Here is a 15,830-nt window from a genome sequence, read left to right as displayed (position 1 = left end):
CAGAGGTGGGAGGGGACAAACTCGCAGGAGGGGAGAAGAGCAGGGCGTGCTTAGGCTTGTGCTGGGAGGAAGAATGAGGATGGACTGAAGGGCTTCAGGGGTGGTCCTAGGGGCAGGGCCTGAGAGCCAGCTGAGGCCAGGACAGAGCTGACGTGAGCTCTGACAGCCCGGTCACATGCAGGGCCCACGCTGGCAGAGCTGGAGGAGCGTGTGTCAGGGGCTCCCCAAGACCACCCTCAGGCTCAGTAATCCACTAGAAGGACTCACAGACTCAGAAGCGGGACTTGCAGTTGCAGGGGCTTACGGTGAAAGGATACAGAGTAGAATCGGGAAAAAGAAAAGTCACAGGCAAGGAGGTTGGGAGGAATCCAGGCGCAGGCTCCCGGTGTCCCCTCCCAGTGGGGTCACGGAAATGCCCTGAATTCTCCCTGCACCCATGTGTGGCAATGCATGTGAAATGCTGCCAAGCAGGGGAGCCCACCAGAGCCTGGGCGTCCAGGGTTTTCAATGGGGTCAGCTACATAGGTGTGACCTCAGACTGTAGAGGAAAAGCAGGTGTTCCCCATCCATCACTGTTGGTATGAACTACCCAGACCAACTGGTACTGGTGACTCAAGGCCTCAGGCAGGCAAAAACACTCTTAATAGGTGGAGCCTTCCATGAGCTTGGTTCCCAGGAGCTGCACAAGGGCCAGTCTTGAAAACAGGCGTTGGCCGGGCACAGTGGCTTACGCCAGTGATCCCAGCACTTTGGGAGGCCCAGGCGGGTGGATCGCCTGAACTCAGGTGTTAGAGACCAGCCTGGGCGGCATGGCAAAACACCGTCTTTACAAAAAAATTAAAAAAAATTAGCCAGATGTGGTGGCGTGTGCCTGTACTCCCTGCTCCTCGGGAGGCTAAGGTGGGAGGATTGCTTGAGCCTGGGAGGTGGAGGTTGCAGTGTGCTGATATCGTGCCACTGTACTCCAGCCTGGGCCACACAGCGAGATCCTGTCTCGAAACCAACAACAAAAGAAACAAAACAAAACAAAACAAAAACACAGACCTTTGTTGGGAATGTGCAGGCTTTGAGCAATCCAGGTCTGCTGAGTCAGCCTTTTCCTGTGCACCTGGTGAGGCCTGGAGAATTTTCCTTGGGCAAGGCTGGGCGTGACTGCTCCTTCTGGCACCTCCCTGGTCAGTGTGGTGGAGCAGTGGTGGTGCTGGGGGCTGGAGGAGCCAGTGAGGGCACTAGTGGTGGACCCTCATGCCCAGGATTGTGGGGAGCCTACTGGCGCCTCCTAGGCTGGGTCAGAGCTTTCCCAGTGCCCCACCTCAACCCCTGCCCAGGGCACAGCAGGTTCTCCTGGGCCTTGGACCTCCTCCAGCCAGAGAAGTGAGGCTGTCACTGAGAGTCCAGCAGCGCCAGGCCTATGCCAGTCTGTATATGGGCACTGTCTCACAGCAGCTCAGAGAGACAGGCATGTGGGTCCCTTCTTTAGAGCCCCAGGAGATTGGGGCTGCCCCCGAGGGTGGGGCAAGGCAACCTGAAACCCCACTCTCCCCACTGTCCCACACCTCCTCCTGAGCGCATGGGTCATGTGCCTGGGGACTGTGGGCTCCTCCAGCTCTGCCAGTGCGGGCCCTGTGTGGGAGGTGAACCCTGCCTGGCGACTCTCCCCCTGCAGTGCTCAGTAACCTGTGGCAACGGCACCCAGGAGCGGCCAGTGCTCTGCCGCACCGCGGACGACAGCTTCGGCATCTGCCAGGAGGAGCGTCCTGAGACAGCGAGGACCTGCAGGCTTGGCCCCTGTCCCCGTAAGCCACCTGCAGCCCCTGCCCCTGCTCCCAGCATGCAGCAGCCCAGGGCGGGGGTGTCAGAGGCTTGGTTCAGGCAAATCTGGCTCTTCCCGGAGAGTAGCTGGACTCAACATCTGTGAGCATGGAGAAGCGGGGCACTGCAGGCCAGGTCTGGGACCTTTGCCTGGCAGGAAATGGAGGGAGCTGTGTGGAGCTGACTCGCCCCTCCCTGCTTTCAGGGCACTGCAGACTCACGGTGACAGCAGGACTCGGCCAGCTAGGGAATGCTGGTGGCTATGGTGTAGGGGGTGCCTGTGTGAATAGGGGGACGCCTGTGCGAGTAGAGAGTGTGCTCTGTGACCTTTGAGGAGAACCAGAATACCTACCACGCACAGATGCCTGTCCAAACGCTATACATGTGTCACCTCTAAGGTCTCCACACAGTTCAAGACTGGACCGTGCCTGCCACAGTTCCCTTCTATAGAGGAGGGAGCTCTGGGGGGTCTAGGCACCTGCCCCCAGCTGGGGAGGGTGTATCCAGGATCTCTCATTCCCCTGGCACTCTCTGTCCAAGCTTTCTGGGAGCTCAGAGCTCGAGTCAGCAGGTGGAACCCGGGGCGCGGGCAGGGTGCAGGGGCAGAGGAGCCGGCCCAGAAAAGGAGGCGGCAGGGCCTGCATGCCAGGGCAGCGAGAGGGACGGGATAGCTGAGACCCAGCTGAGACCCCGGCTGCTGTCAGGAGGGGCAGGAGGTGGGCGTGGACTTGGCAGCGGAGGACCCTTTGTCCGCCCGGGGAGGCGAGGGCCTTGAATGACGCTTCCCCAGGACCCCGGGAGACCCGGAGCCTCTCTGCCTGGGGTGGGGGCCCCAGCCTGGTGCCCTGCGGCCGCAGCCCCTCTCTCCTCCCTCTAGGAAACATCTCAGATCCCTCCAAGAAGAGCTACGTAGTTCAGTGGCTGTCCCGCCCGGACCCCGACTCGCCCATCCGGAAGATCTCGTCAAGTAACCGACCCGTTTATAACTCTGCCTCTGCCCTCCAGTGCATGCCCTGCGCCCTGTGGAGCTTGCCTTGGGCCCCCCTCCTCTCTGTCTATGGAAAGCTCCCCTGACTCTGCGGGCGCGCTCTGGGGTGACCGTTTTCTCCCGGGCCTCTGAGCTCGGCGTCCGCTCCGGGCCGCGCTGCCTGCTGGCGGGGGCTCGGGCCTCTGCTGGGGCCGAACCTGGTTGGTGATGGCTTGTAAAGGGGCAAAGATCTGTCGTGGTTGCAGGAGGGGCCGGTGGCCAAAGGGCGACCCTCCGGGCCGAGCCCGTCCCGGCCCGGGGGGGTTCGCGGTCTCGCGGCGTCGTGCGGGGACCCCACCCCGAGTTTCCGGCACTGCCAGGTGCTTCCCGGCTGCCACCGCCGTCGCTGCTGCCGCCGACCCTTTGCTGAGCGTGTCCTTCTGACTCGTGGAACTATGGCCCGCTTCCGCCCGGCCTTCGCGCAGCTCACAGCCCCGCGCGGCCCTGTCCTGCGGGGGTCCGGTCGCGGAGGCGGCGGAGGGGCGCGGGGACACTCCCCACCTCCACTGTCCGCCCGTCGGCCCCGGTGGCCTTTTCTCGCCTCGCGCACAGCTCCCCCGCCGCAGGGCTGAGAGAGAGAGTGGCCGTCTGGTGCGCGCGTGCCTCGCCCACGCGTGTGAACCACTACAGAATTACCTCAATTTTTATTGCTTTTTTGCTTAGAAAAACTATGTAGAAGATGCCTTAAAGTTGAAAGGTAACGGGATTGGCTGCCAACTCCAGCTTCAGAGGGGGAACGTGGGCCAGTAGAAGGCAGGGAAGGTGTAGGGGAGCCGGTGCGTTCATCCACCTTTTGCCAAGGTTGAGGTTTCCAAGTGCAGACGGCTTCTCTCCTTGGGCTGAGCGGTGCGCACCGTCCGTCTCCGCGGACTGGAGTCTGCCCTGATGCCCCACTGGCCAGTCGGCGCTGACTGTTGCATGGAGCCCCCGAGGGTGCTCCACAGCGCGGCCTTACACCCAGGGGGCGACCCCCTGGGCCCTGAGCCGCGATCCATGTAGCACTCCTCCCCGCCCCTCCACCCCAGCCACCGCCTCTGTTCACACCGCACCCCTGCCGGGCGGCCGGCCCCTACTCCCGCGGCTCTGACCGCCGTTCTGTAAATAACTGGTGTGCACCTGCGTACTAATCTCACGACTGTTAACTTCCAACTTTGACGAGGCCATGCGAGCGACACGCGCGACTGGGGAAGGTGCAATACTGTCCTGGGCATATGCACTTTGGTTTATCAGGGATATTTTATTAGTGTTTTGTATGTATTTAATGACGTATTCTATAGGTTCCATTGTCGTTGCTTTTCTGGTTTTTTTTATGAGACGTTAGCGTGTGCCAAAGTGACTGTGAAAATGACCTTTCATTCTTACTAATGATGGAAAGACCTCCTGTCATGCATCCCACAAATAAACTCAATAAAAGTTCCATGAAACTGGGTGCGTGGGTTTGGCAAGCTGATGGCTCCTTCTCTTTTTGGGGGCCCAGACACTGAGGAGTTGCGGGGCCTCACTCAGTAGCATTAACTACCCCGGTTTCTAATTTGAATGACTTTACTGCCCCACTCCCCACTGCCCAACATAGATATTTAGGGCCCCTCCCCCTGAAAGGTGTATCTCCCCTCCCCAGGTATTTTCCAAAATCTGATAGCAAACCGTGCAGACACCCCACCGTGACTCCGGGTTTTGAATCATGTCATATGAGCACCTCGCAAGAATATCTAGGTTCTATATGGAGGTCTCCTCGTCAGGAAAAGGGCCCGAGATGGGTTTCTCCTCATCTTTGGAGCAGAGCCTGTGGAGTGGGAATGTGGGGTCAGTAGCCCAGACATTGCTAGTCCAGGTCACCTGCCGTGAGCCACCAGCAGGTCACTACCCTGGCTCCAGGCACAGTTCTCGGCCTTGGGCTACTCGTCCAGGAAGGGAGAGGTGCCCATCCGGCTCAGGTGGGGGGCTGGGCCAGCCCCGGGAAAGCCTGGGTCGGGAGAGGGGCAGGGCAGTGGTGGCTCTCTGGGCAACTGGCCTGCCCATGTCTTCCAAGGTCTTCCCAGGCAGCCACAGGGCCTGTGTTCTCTCACATTGCTGAAAATGGCCAGAAAGAGGGTCTGGGTTCAAGAGGGACCTCCTGACCTGGGGCCTGGGCTGTGTCCTGCCCATGGAAGTCTCACTCCTCCCTTTTCTGTACCACTGAGGAGTCCCACCAGGGAGAGGGAAGAAAGCGTGGAAGGCCATGAGAAAGAACAGTGGGGAGCAGCCCAGTGTCATGGGGACAGGCCTTGGGCATAGGGCCGGGCCCGGGGGCTAGCCTGGGGAGGGAGCAACCATGGTAGCGATGGCTGAGTTCAGCCTGCCCAGAGCTCAGATCATTGATCATCAAAAGCAATCGCAGCTTAAAGGAGACAAGAAGCATCAGGGAAAATTGGGTCAGACAGTGCTTCCCTCCACTCAGTCTCTCTTCCCAGAGATGGGTCAGGAGCAATTCCCGCTAAGAGGCTCCTAGGCCAGAGCTAGAGACGCCGCCTACAGCCCAGGTGCCAAGGAGGGCACATCTGGAGGGGGGTGCCTCTTGCTTTTTTAACCAGCTGCATGACCTTTTGAATGTTGGCATGGGTGTCTGAGCCTACCACTCCTTTACTGAGAAATGAGAATGAGGTATTCTCCATCCAGCATTTTCCAAAGCATGGGAAATGGAAGGTGATTCGGTGGTGCATAAACATAGCTGGGGCTGCACTGCACTGAGCGGTCCCTTCCTAGTTCCCTTTATGCTTTATGGTGACCTCAGGAAGAAAGCCTCACTTGCTACCAGCTTTAGCCTGTCTCACATTTGCTCATTTCCCTTCAGCTCAGAGCTTGGCAGGCAGGAGTCTCTCTCTAGAATTTGATGAGTTAAAGTGTGACTTTGAAATTGACTTTAAAAGGACTTTAAACTTTTTTTTTGTATTCCTATTTTAGGGTTACCTTTGTTCACTGCAGTAGCTTTCCATGAGTGGTAATAGTATAAGGTCTTCTAAAACAAATTTTAAGTGTAAAAAGGAGTTAATTTAAAGGATATGACTAAGCAAATAATAATGCAGGTGCTGTTCAGGTGTAGCCAAGATCGTGGGAGTAGCCTACAGTGACTTAAGTTTATGAAAACTGTGTTTACTCTCAATGGTTGATTGTCATTCACTGGAAGACAATAGGTCTCACTACTTGATTGCTACTGGAAATGGCCGAAGACCAAATATTGTAAAACCACAGTGTTCATCTTGGCGGAGAGGCATCGCCAGTCATTACCTCAGGTGCATCACTCTTCTCTGTGGTCCGTGATGATACTTAAAAATGTACAAACCTGGGGCATCTTTAAGATCAGTTGGTCATGATGACTTTGAAATTTTTCTAGGCTATTTTGAAATTTTCCTAGGCTATTTGCATAGTCAATCTCTTGGCCAGGATTTTATTTCAATTTTGTATTTACTCATTGACGTATTTTTATTTTTTTAAACTAAGAGCAATGCCGCCCACTGTGGGGAGAAAATCAGACATAGAAGTCCAGTATGTAGACCAGGTGGAAGGGGGACCCCACCTGGGGCTGCCACCCCTCACTCAATGGGCATTTATGGAGCACTTTCTCGTGCATGGCTCTGACCTAGGCGTGCACTTGACCCACGATCAGTCAACCTTTTCTGTAAAGGGCCAGGTAGTCAATATTTTGGGCATTGGAGCCCACATGGTCTCTGTCACAGGACTCAGCTCTGCCTTTATAGTGGGAAAGCAGCCACAGATAAGAAATGCATGGGCCGGGCACAGTGGCTTACACCTGTAATCCCAGCACTTTGGGAGGCTGAGGTGGATGGATCACAAGGTCAGGAGTTCAAGACCAGCCTGACCAACATAGCGAAACCCCGTCTCTACTAAAAATACAAAAATTAGCCGGGCATGGTGGCACGCACCTGTAGTCCCAGCTACTCGGGAGGCTCTTGAACCCAGGAGGCGGAGGTTGCAGTGAGCCAAGATCACGCCACTGCACTCCAGCCTGGGCGACAGAGCAAGACTTCATCTCAAAAAAAAAAAAAAAAATGCATGGGCATGGGCCTGATCCAATAAAACTTTATTTACAAAACCAGGTGGAGGGAGGGACTTGGCACACTAGCCGTAGATGGCCCACCACTGTACCAGGCTGATGTGATTCCTGCTTTTCAGGGATCCCAGCCTGGTGGGGGAGACAGTGAGGGAGTGGAGATGTGGATAAATGTGTAACACCAGCCTTATCTGTGTGAAGGAAAAACTATGGGCAACAGGAGAGGGGGCAGTGTGCAGCCAGGGTGTCCCTCCCAGCACCATCAGGCCCAGGCTCCCTCCTTTGTCAAAGCCTATGGGGTAGGGAGAAGGGAGGCCACCATCAGCTCTTATCCAGAACCCCCTGTGTTTCCCTGAGGGTAGGGCTCAGTGGTTTCACAAACCAGGCTGCTGGAGAGGATGGGGTGGGGCAGGGATGGGAGCTCTGTGTCTCCTCCACCCACCTTCAAACAGTACTATCATCAGCAGTCTGAGTCTATCTGTTTCATATATTGGGCACCTGTGTAAGATTTTTATCTGAGAAAAGCCTTCTGCCAGTTTCAAAATCCTGACAGCCACATCTCAGGATCTTCCGATTTGATTTCTGGCATCTCCCCTGGGTACCAGGCCCTCCCCCTTCCTCCTTGGCACTGTGAGCATGGTTCTTGGGCTCAGTGTCAGGGAGATCCCCACTTCTCCTGATGGCCGATGGGTTTTAACTCCCTTTTCATGGTGGACCCTGCAGCCAGTCATGTGTTCTCCTTATTTTGGCCACGTAGAAGCTCAGGGCCGAAGTCGGGCACCCTCTGATGCATGGGCCTCCCTGCATTCTTCTTGCCTGGAAATTGCCATTTTCAGATTCAAAATTTCCCTGTTTTGAACTTCCTCAGTTATTCACATTGATCTTTTTCATACCTTATCTTTTTTATGCCTTTATGCATTATTTGGTTCACTGTTCTAGGCTCTGGGGCTCTGCCCTGTGGAGCTTTCAGGATAATGAAAAAGTCTGGCACTAGTCATTCATCTGACAATTAGATGCGAGCTTGGCTGGGAAGGCACAGCTGCTGAGACCGTGTGCTGCAGAGACCTTACCTGCTCAAGGAGGTCAGGCGATGCCTGCCTGAGGAAGATGTGCTCCAACTGCCCCTGAAGGAGGAAGGGTGGTAGCTGGAGGCAGGAGAGAGGCATTGCATGTGCAAAGGCCCTGTGGCCAAAAGGAGTTCCATGCAGAGCAAGGAGTCTAAGGCCAGAGGGAGGTTGGAAAGGGGAAAGGGACAGGTCAGGGACTTCAAGTGGCGGGGGGTGGGGGGGGGGTGCCGTGGTCACATCTTCAGTGAGAAAACAGCATTCTGACTGAAGCAGGATAGCTGGATGACATGGGTGAAGAATGGACACAGACCCCTCCCATAGTGCAGCCAAGAGGCAGCTCAGCCAGGGTGGAGGTGGGAGACGGGGAGGAACAAGGGCATATCTGAGAGTGTCTAGGACGGGGCACCCAGGTGTTTGGCTTGTGTGCCTGAAACACCATGCACCGAGACAGGGTGGGCAGCAGAGGCCCTAAGCTCACGCTGCAGGGGTTGGGTCTCGGGCTTTTGGGACCCACAGGCCCTTGGTGGATTTGGCTTGTAGCAAGTCTGAAGCTTCAGGGGTTTGGAGCTGGTGGTCTGTCACCAGCTTCTAAGGGAAAATTACAGGCTGGAGCAGTGGCCATTAAGAAGCAGGACATCAGAACCACTGGCCCTCGATGGAAGGAAGGGGGTCTTGTCTGTTTTGGACAGCTTCAGGTGTAGATTGTGTCATATGTTGGTGTATGGGATAACTGTCAGATGTGGCTCCCATCCAATGCCTGAGCCTTTCTCCCTCCCTTTCTCCCTCCCTTTCCTCCTCCCTTTCTTCCTTTTGTCCCTCCCTCCCTTTCCTTTTTTCCTTTCTTTCCTTCCTTCAGTTCCTCCTTCCTTTCACCCTCTCCCTCCTTCCTTCCTTTCAATAGTAGATGAGTTCAACTAAGGAGAGTGAGGGAAAAGGAGGGCACGTCGGGGGTTTGTGTGGGAAAGGTCTGAAGTCATCACTGTGGAGAGTAGAGAGCAGCTGAGCAGAGACCACAACAGGCGGTGTTGGGCTCACGGAGGTCAGTGATTCGGAATTTATACTGGATCAAGTATCTCCTGTAACATGACTTATTCTTTCTTCTTGAGTGAATTTTTTAAAATCATCTTAATTTTTGTGTTGTGGAATGAGGGGATGGGGAGAGGGAAGGGGTGAAAACTTGGGAAGGAGACAGAGAGTAAAGAGAGTGTGAGCGCAAGAAGAGTTGATGGGTTGAATGAACATAGCCGCAGACAGAGGTCGAGATGGGCCAGGGAGAAGATGGCTGGGTGGAAAGTGAGAGATAATGGTGGCTTCTGTGGAGAGTCGGGGCTCTCCATGTAAGCTGGACCACAGATGACCAGTTTCTTGGGTGGAAAGGAAAGAGAAAGATGTGCAGGGTGGAACGATTAATCTATGTGAGGGCAGCACGTTTCTTTGGGAAATGGCTGGATGCGCAAGGTGGCGGTGCTATAGGGGGATGGAGCAGAGGCTGGAAATGAGGTTGTTGGGTAAGTTGAGGCAAGTATAAGAAAGCCCATGCAGGTTTGGGTGATGTTTAACTTTCCTTTAGGTGCTGTTCAGTTAAAAGATCGTCCGGGGCATCTGGGTCAGAATGGGAGCAACATCAGGGAGTTGTGGAGCATGGTGGGGCCACAGCGGCCCTGGGATTTGCTATATTGGGTCTTAGGAATTGGCTCTTTTAGGTTTAATTTTGTTATAGTTACTACTTAGAGATTATTGTAGAGTCAAGCCTTGCCACAGAATTTCACTGGGGTTACCACTGGGATGTCAAATGTGAAGATGTGATAAAGTCCTATTCTTTAAGATGAGTTTGGAATCACTCTGTAAGAACAAACGGGCCTCATTTCTTTCTCAAACTTTAAGAGATACTGAAACATCCAGGTTCAACTGGGGCCTGCTTGGAAGAGGGAAGCCTTGCTCACAGCTTGTGTGTCAGCACTTCCAGGCAGGGGTCCCTGGACACTGCCTGCACTGGGGATGCTTTGACACTGAACCCACACAGACTTTCTGCCTGGGCTCACTTGCCTCTGTGCTGTCTCTGGGCTCTTCCATATGCCTCCTCCAGCAAGCTGCACCCTGTGGGGGAACAAAGTCCCCCTTATCTTGTCCTTTGGTTATTTGTCCCACTTTTCTTTTTCAGAGGGCCACTGCCAAGGCGACAAGTCAATATTCTGTAGGATGGAAGTCTTGTCCCGCTATTGCTCCATCCCAGGCTACAACAAGCTGTGCTGCAAGTCCTGTAACCTGTACAACAACCTCACCAACGTGGAGGGCAGGATAGAGCCACCGCCTGGGAAGCACAACGACATTGACGTGTTCATGCCTACCCTCCCAGTGCCCACTGTAGCCATGGAGGTGCGGCCATCACCAAGCACCCCCCTGGAGGTCCCTCTCAATGCCTCCAGCACCAATGCCACAGAGGATCACCCAGAAACCAATGCCGTAGATGAACCCTACAAAATCCATGGCCTGGAAGATGAAGTCCAGCCACCCAACCTAATCCCTCGACGACCGAGCCCCTATGAAAAGACCAGAAACCAAAGAATCCAAGAGCTCATTGATGAGATGCGGAAGAAAGAGATGCTCGGAAAGTTCTAATAAAATGGAAAGATAGCATCCCTAGCATTTTTTTCTTGCTTATAGAGATATTCCATGGGATAGCAAATCCTGTGTCATGGAGATGAAGTCAAAATTCCTGATTCCAAAAGGTTTTGAGAAAACAAAGAGGGGGAATGACGTAAGAAAGATAGGCATGAGCATGTGGTAACTAGGTTAGCACGTGTGCTTCCCAGCCCAGGAGCGACCAAATACTGTGGTGGCGTCAGGTGTGCAGTGGAGAGGAATATAGAGGCTGTATGGCCTCCCTCAGTGAGGGCAGGGCAAGAGGGATCACTCTGAGAGAACAAAAATAGGCCCCAAGTTGCTAAGCAGTGATTGGGAACCTTCCTTTCCTTGGCGGAGATGCATGACATTCCCTACCGATCCCCAGACACAGCCTGTGGGACTCTTAGGAGAAATGGTGATTTACTGAATAACTGACCCGTTGCCGAGATGAGTACAATGAAGTGGAGGTGATGAACTCAAATCGTCTTCCAGGGCCAGGCGGCTGACCGGGGTGAGCGTAGTGGCCCGCTGGGGACCATGGCCGCCCTGACAGCCACACCCACCTGGAGCTGACTTGGTTCTGGCTGTTGCTGCCACTGTGAAATCTGTATCTCTCTCCATCTCTGCTCTACTATCCCCGGCCTTGCCAGACAGTGTTCTTTTTCGGAAGAAGTCTAGATTTTTGCATGAAAAAAACTCAATCTTTAAAGGTCGACTCAGAACATTTTAAGGAGGCCTCCACTTGGTCTGATGCAGTCTTGCTAATTAAGAACTAAAGGCCTTCTGACCTTCTTGGTGCTCATGCTGTACGGCATCTGAATGTCTCGACCGAGTCTGAGCCGTGCAGCTGTCCTCCACCTGCGAAAGTAATGAGAATCCTATCACGGGACATAAGGATAGGTCTAAACAGGGTCCATGCCAAGAAAACAGTGGGGTGCTCTCCCAGGCCTCTCCCCTGTCCACTAACCCTGGCCTTGCCGGCTGCCTTCCAGGCTCTGGGGGAAGAGCTCCTGCATTCTTCCCTGGCCACCTTGGCTCCAGGGCTCCCCAGAGAGCCTCTTCCCTCCCCAAGTACCTGAGAAAGATGAGAGAGGCACGTGCTCTGCTGGGAAGGTCCAGTGAGCGGTTCAAGGGCCTGGAATCTCCCTACGGCCAAGTCTAAGGGTTCTGGGATTCTGGGCTTTGTGGGCTTTGCTTGCTTGCTGGGAATGGGCTTTCCCTGTCCCGCCCTGCCCCACCTCGCCTCTGTCTCTCAGAAGCTCCAGAACCCAGCAGTGACCTGCAAAATGTGGCCTCTGATGGGGGCTTAGGGTGGGAGATGGGGAGAGCCTACATTGTCTTTTGCTCCTTGAAAACTTTAATAGCTCCTATTTTCCAGAGAATGGTGCTTTGTGAGCAACATGCGAGTAAGAGAGAAATAGGAGGAAGGGGGAGTAGGGGCGGATGGGAGAAGAGTGGCTCATTTTTACCTCTCACTGCCTTGACATTTTGTGAACGTGAAGCTTAAACTTTCTGGGCTTACAAGACCCAGGGGCACGTCAGCTCCTTAGATGGGCTCAGCCTGACACATAATTCTTAAACCTTTCCTGTTTAAGAAACTTCTAGAGGCTGTGTACTCTCACCAATCCTCTTCGAGAATTTGTTCATGTGTATTTCCCCATTATATGGATGAGGCTCAGGATAACAGCATAGTGGCTACCTTCTACTGAGTTTTGAGGTGCTAATAAGTATGTTTGTCTGAGGCTGCACATGTGGGTGGCTCTGTGTGTATGATCCAAGGGACAAAATGACGATGTAGGAACCAGCAAGAACGGAATCTGGGCTGATGCTTCAGTCTCCACCTGGGTGATGGCTAGCCTCCCGCCCTCCACCACCGCATCCCACACGTGCTGCGCACTGTCCCCGTGTCTCCTGGAGAACCAAACTGGAGAAAACCTTTCTGAGTATCTCTCATAGTACCCCTTCCTTAAGAAGATGTGGTTTAGAGCATGTGTGCAATCCTGCCTCTGTAATTAGGAAACGGAGCCCGAGGCTTTCCATTGTTGGTTGAACCCAGGACAGCTGGTGCTATTCACAGGCTGAAGAACTGGGCAGTTCTTACTTGGGTCTGTCCTAGGATGTGGAGGAAGTTCAGGACTAACGCTAGGCAGAGAGTATGACTCGGTTTACCCAGCCTAGGGGCCTCTGGATGGGAACACTCCATTCCAAGATCTCAGCAGAGCAGGGCTTCCTGGCTTGAGGCTGGAAGCCTTTGGGAAGAGGCCCAGCTGGGACATTCCCTGGGCACCTGTCTTCCGCTGAAGGGAGCAAGGTGCCCTCTGGGACTGACAGCCATGACCCTCTGTGCCATCCTCAATCCTTGAGCCATATATCAAGAGTCCTCTAGAGCCGGATGGTCCTCAAAAGTCTGTCCAAGGAATGCCAACGTTCACCGGGCTCTGAGAAACGACGCAAATCTCTGAGCTGGGGACCACTTGGAGAACCGGCTTAGTAACAGTCCTGATCTTCGCAAGCCAGCTTCTTCTGCATCTGAGGGGCTCCTGGCGCCCAGAGGAGGCAGACAGATGTCTTCTAGCTGAGTTTCTAACCGCATGATGAGACTCAGACCTTCCGCTGCACTAGAAAATCTGCAACAGTGTCCCTGAGTCACTTCTCCTTAGTGGGCAGACTCGTGTTAGATTTGTGGAACCCAGCTCTCTGATTTACTCCTTTTGGAAAACCCATGGAATTTCATGTATAAGGCTTTCATTTGTATTTTAAGGTTTTTCTGTTTGTTTTGAGTATATACATGGTGCTCAATAGCAACATCTTAGCAGATGAAGCAGTTTATGATTCCACTCCCTCCTGTATGACAGGTAGCCACTATACTGAATCAAGGTGCTGAACTCAAATCACAAAATTCTGGCTTACCGATACAACAACCAATACATCTTTGTTCTGTAATGTAAAATTTGACTCCTTACTTTTATAACTTATTAAAGTTAAAATGTCTGTGTTTTTGCAAATCATGCCTGCGTTTGTTGTTGTCTTCATTACACTTGTGCCCGTGCCTGGCTGGAACGTGGGCAGAATGGAAGGAGGTGCTGCCTTCACAAGGCCGAGAGGTCAGGGCGCCGGGGAGCATTGAGCCAGGGCTGCTCAAGGGAGAACCATGCAAAGGGCAGAAGGCACCCCGAAGAAAGGCTCCCTCTCCTAGCTCCCCACGGGTCGGCTCTCCAAGTCACATGACTGAGCCAAGGGCCCCAACCAAACCTTTAGTTCAGGGAAGAGATGAAGAGTCTCCAGACATCTCCTCCCTGATGACAATCCCTTCTCTCCTATGATTAGGGCTTCCAGAAAAAATACTAGATGCACAGTGAAATTTGAATTTCAGAGAAACAACACACATGCTTTTTTTTAGCATGAAAATGAGACATATTTATACTAAGAAATTATTTTTTGTTTCTCTGAAATGCAAATTTAACTGAGAATCCTGTGTTATTTGTTAAATTTGGTCACCCAACTTGTACTTCGTGTTCCACTTCTTTTTTTTTTTTTTCTTTTGAGACGGAGTCTCGCTCTGTCACCCAGGCTGGAGAGCAGCGGCGCGATCTCTGCTCACTGCAAGCTCCACCTCCTGGGTTCACACCATTCTCCTGCCTCAGCCTCCCGAGTAGCTGGGACTACAGGCGCCCACCACCATGTCCAGCTAATTTTTGTATTTTTGGTAGAGATAGGGTTTCATCGTGTTAGCCAGGATGGTCTCAATCTCCTGACCTCGTGATCCGCCCGCCTCGGCCTCCCAAAGTGCTGGGATTACAGGCATGAGCCACCGCGCCTGGCCTTCGTGTTCCACTTCTAAAGAAAACCCTTATCTCTGGCCCTTGTTGCTATCAGCAGGTATAGGGAGAAGCAGGGGTAGGAAGGCAGAGGAGATTTCTTCTGTCCCAATTTTTGTAAGTATTCCCATGCCTTCTAAAAGAACATGGAATTGGTGGTTGTTGGGGATAGTATCTATACATGCCCATGATGTCAAATTTGTTAATTTGTTATTGAAATATTTTGTATCTTGATTTTGTTGTCTCCTTGTTCTATCAGTTTGATAGAAAGTTAGGGGGTTTTTGGGTTTTTTTTTTTTGTTATTGTTGTTGTTTGTTTTTCTGGAGGGAGTTTCGCTCTTGTTGCCCAGGCTGGAGTACAATGGCACAATCTTGGCTCACTGCAACCCTCCACCTCCCAGGTTCAAGCAATTCTCCTGCCTCAGCCTCATGAGTAGCTTGGATTATAGGCACCCATCATCACGCTCAGCTAATTTTTGTATTTTCAGTAGAGACAGGTTTTTGCCATGTTGGCCAGGCTGGTCTTGAACTCCCGACCTCAGGTGATGCGACCGCCTTGGCCTCCCAAAGGACTGGGATTACAGGCATGAGCCACTGCGCCCAGCCAGAAAGTTGTTTCAGTAGCTCCCACTGATCATGGATTTTACTATTTCTCCCATTTCAATTGCAGTTTTGTCCATTTTACCCGTCGTTAATTTTTATTTATTTATTTATTTGTTTGTTTATTTATTTATTTATTTTTGAGACCGAGTCTTGCTCTGTTGCCCAGGCTAGAGTGCCTGGCACATTCTCAGCTCACTGCACCCTCTGCCTCCTGGGTCAAGGGATTCTCCTGCCTCAGCCTCCCGAGTAGCTGGGATTACAGGCACCCGCCATCATGCCCAGCTAATTTTTGTATTTTTAGTAGAGACAGGGTTTCGCCATGTTGGCCAGGCAGGTCTTGAACTCCTGACCTCAGGTGATCCACCTGCCTTGGCCTCCCAAAGTGCTGACATTACAGGCGTGAGCCACTGCATCTGGCCCCTTTTTACCCTTCTTTTAAAGAAGGAGCTTTTCACTATTTTGAAACCACATTGAGAACACACACATTTCTAATTGTTATCTTCTTGGTGACATCATCCTTTTATCTTAATGAATTGACTGATTTTATTCCCAGAAATAACTTGTCTTGCAAATTTCCCCCAATGTTAGTCCAGTATAGCTACATCAGCTTGCTTTCAGTTAAAGGTTGCATGATATAACTTCTCCTTTACTTTCAAATTTTCTGTATCGTATGTGCTGTATTTGAGCTTTGTAGACTATCAGTTTTAATATAGCTTAACATTTTAATTCTTTAATTGGACTATTTAGTTCATTATATCTAATGCCATCCCTGCGGCCAGCACCCTCTGGCTGCCTTCTGTGCTCTCCGTTCCTCCTGACTGTTCTGTGTT

General features: G+C 52.6%; 1 protein-coding gene across 3 annotated transcripts in view; it reads left to right on the top strand.

The window, feature by feature from the left end:
• ADAMTS2 (ADAM metallopeptidase with thrombospondin type 1 motif 2) overlaps positions 1–13,587 on the top strand; it is a 234,609-nt gene extending 221,022 nt beyond the window's left edge. For all 3 annotated transcript variants that reach the window (NM_014244.5, XM_047417895.1, XM_047417896.1), the window contains 3 exons: positions 1,667–1,796; positions 2,690–2,779; positions 10,116–13,587. In NM_014244.5, the coding sequence (NP_055059.2) occupies positions 1,667–1,796; positions 2,690–2,779; positions 10,116–10,573 (678 nt within the window). In that variant the 3' untranslated portion in view covers positions 10,574–13,587. The remainder of the gene's footprint in view (positions 1–1,666; positions 1,797–2,689; positions 2,780–10,115) is intronic.

Source organism: Homo sapiens, chromosome 5 (genome assembly GCF_000001405.40).
Source record: "Homo sapiens chromosome 5, GRCh38.p14 Primary Assembly".
Classification (NCBI taxonomy): Eukaryota; Metazoa; Chordata; class Mammalia; order Primates; family Hominidae; genus Homo; species Homo sapiens.
This window is presented reverse-complemented; position numbering and strand designations above follow the sequence as displayed.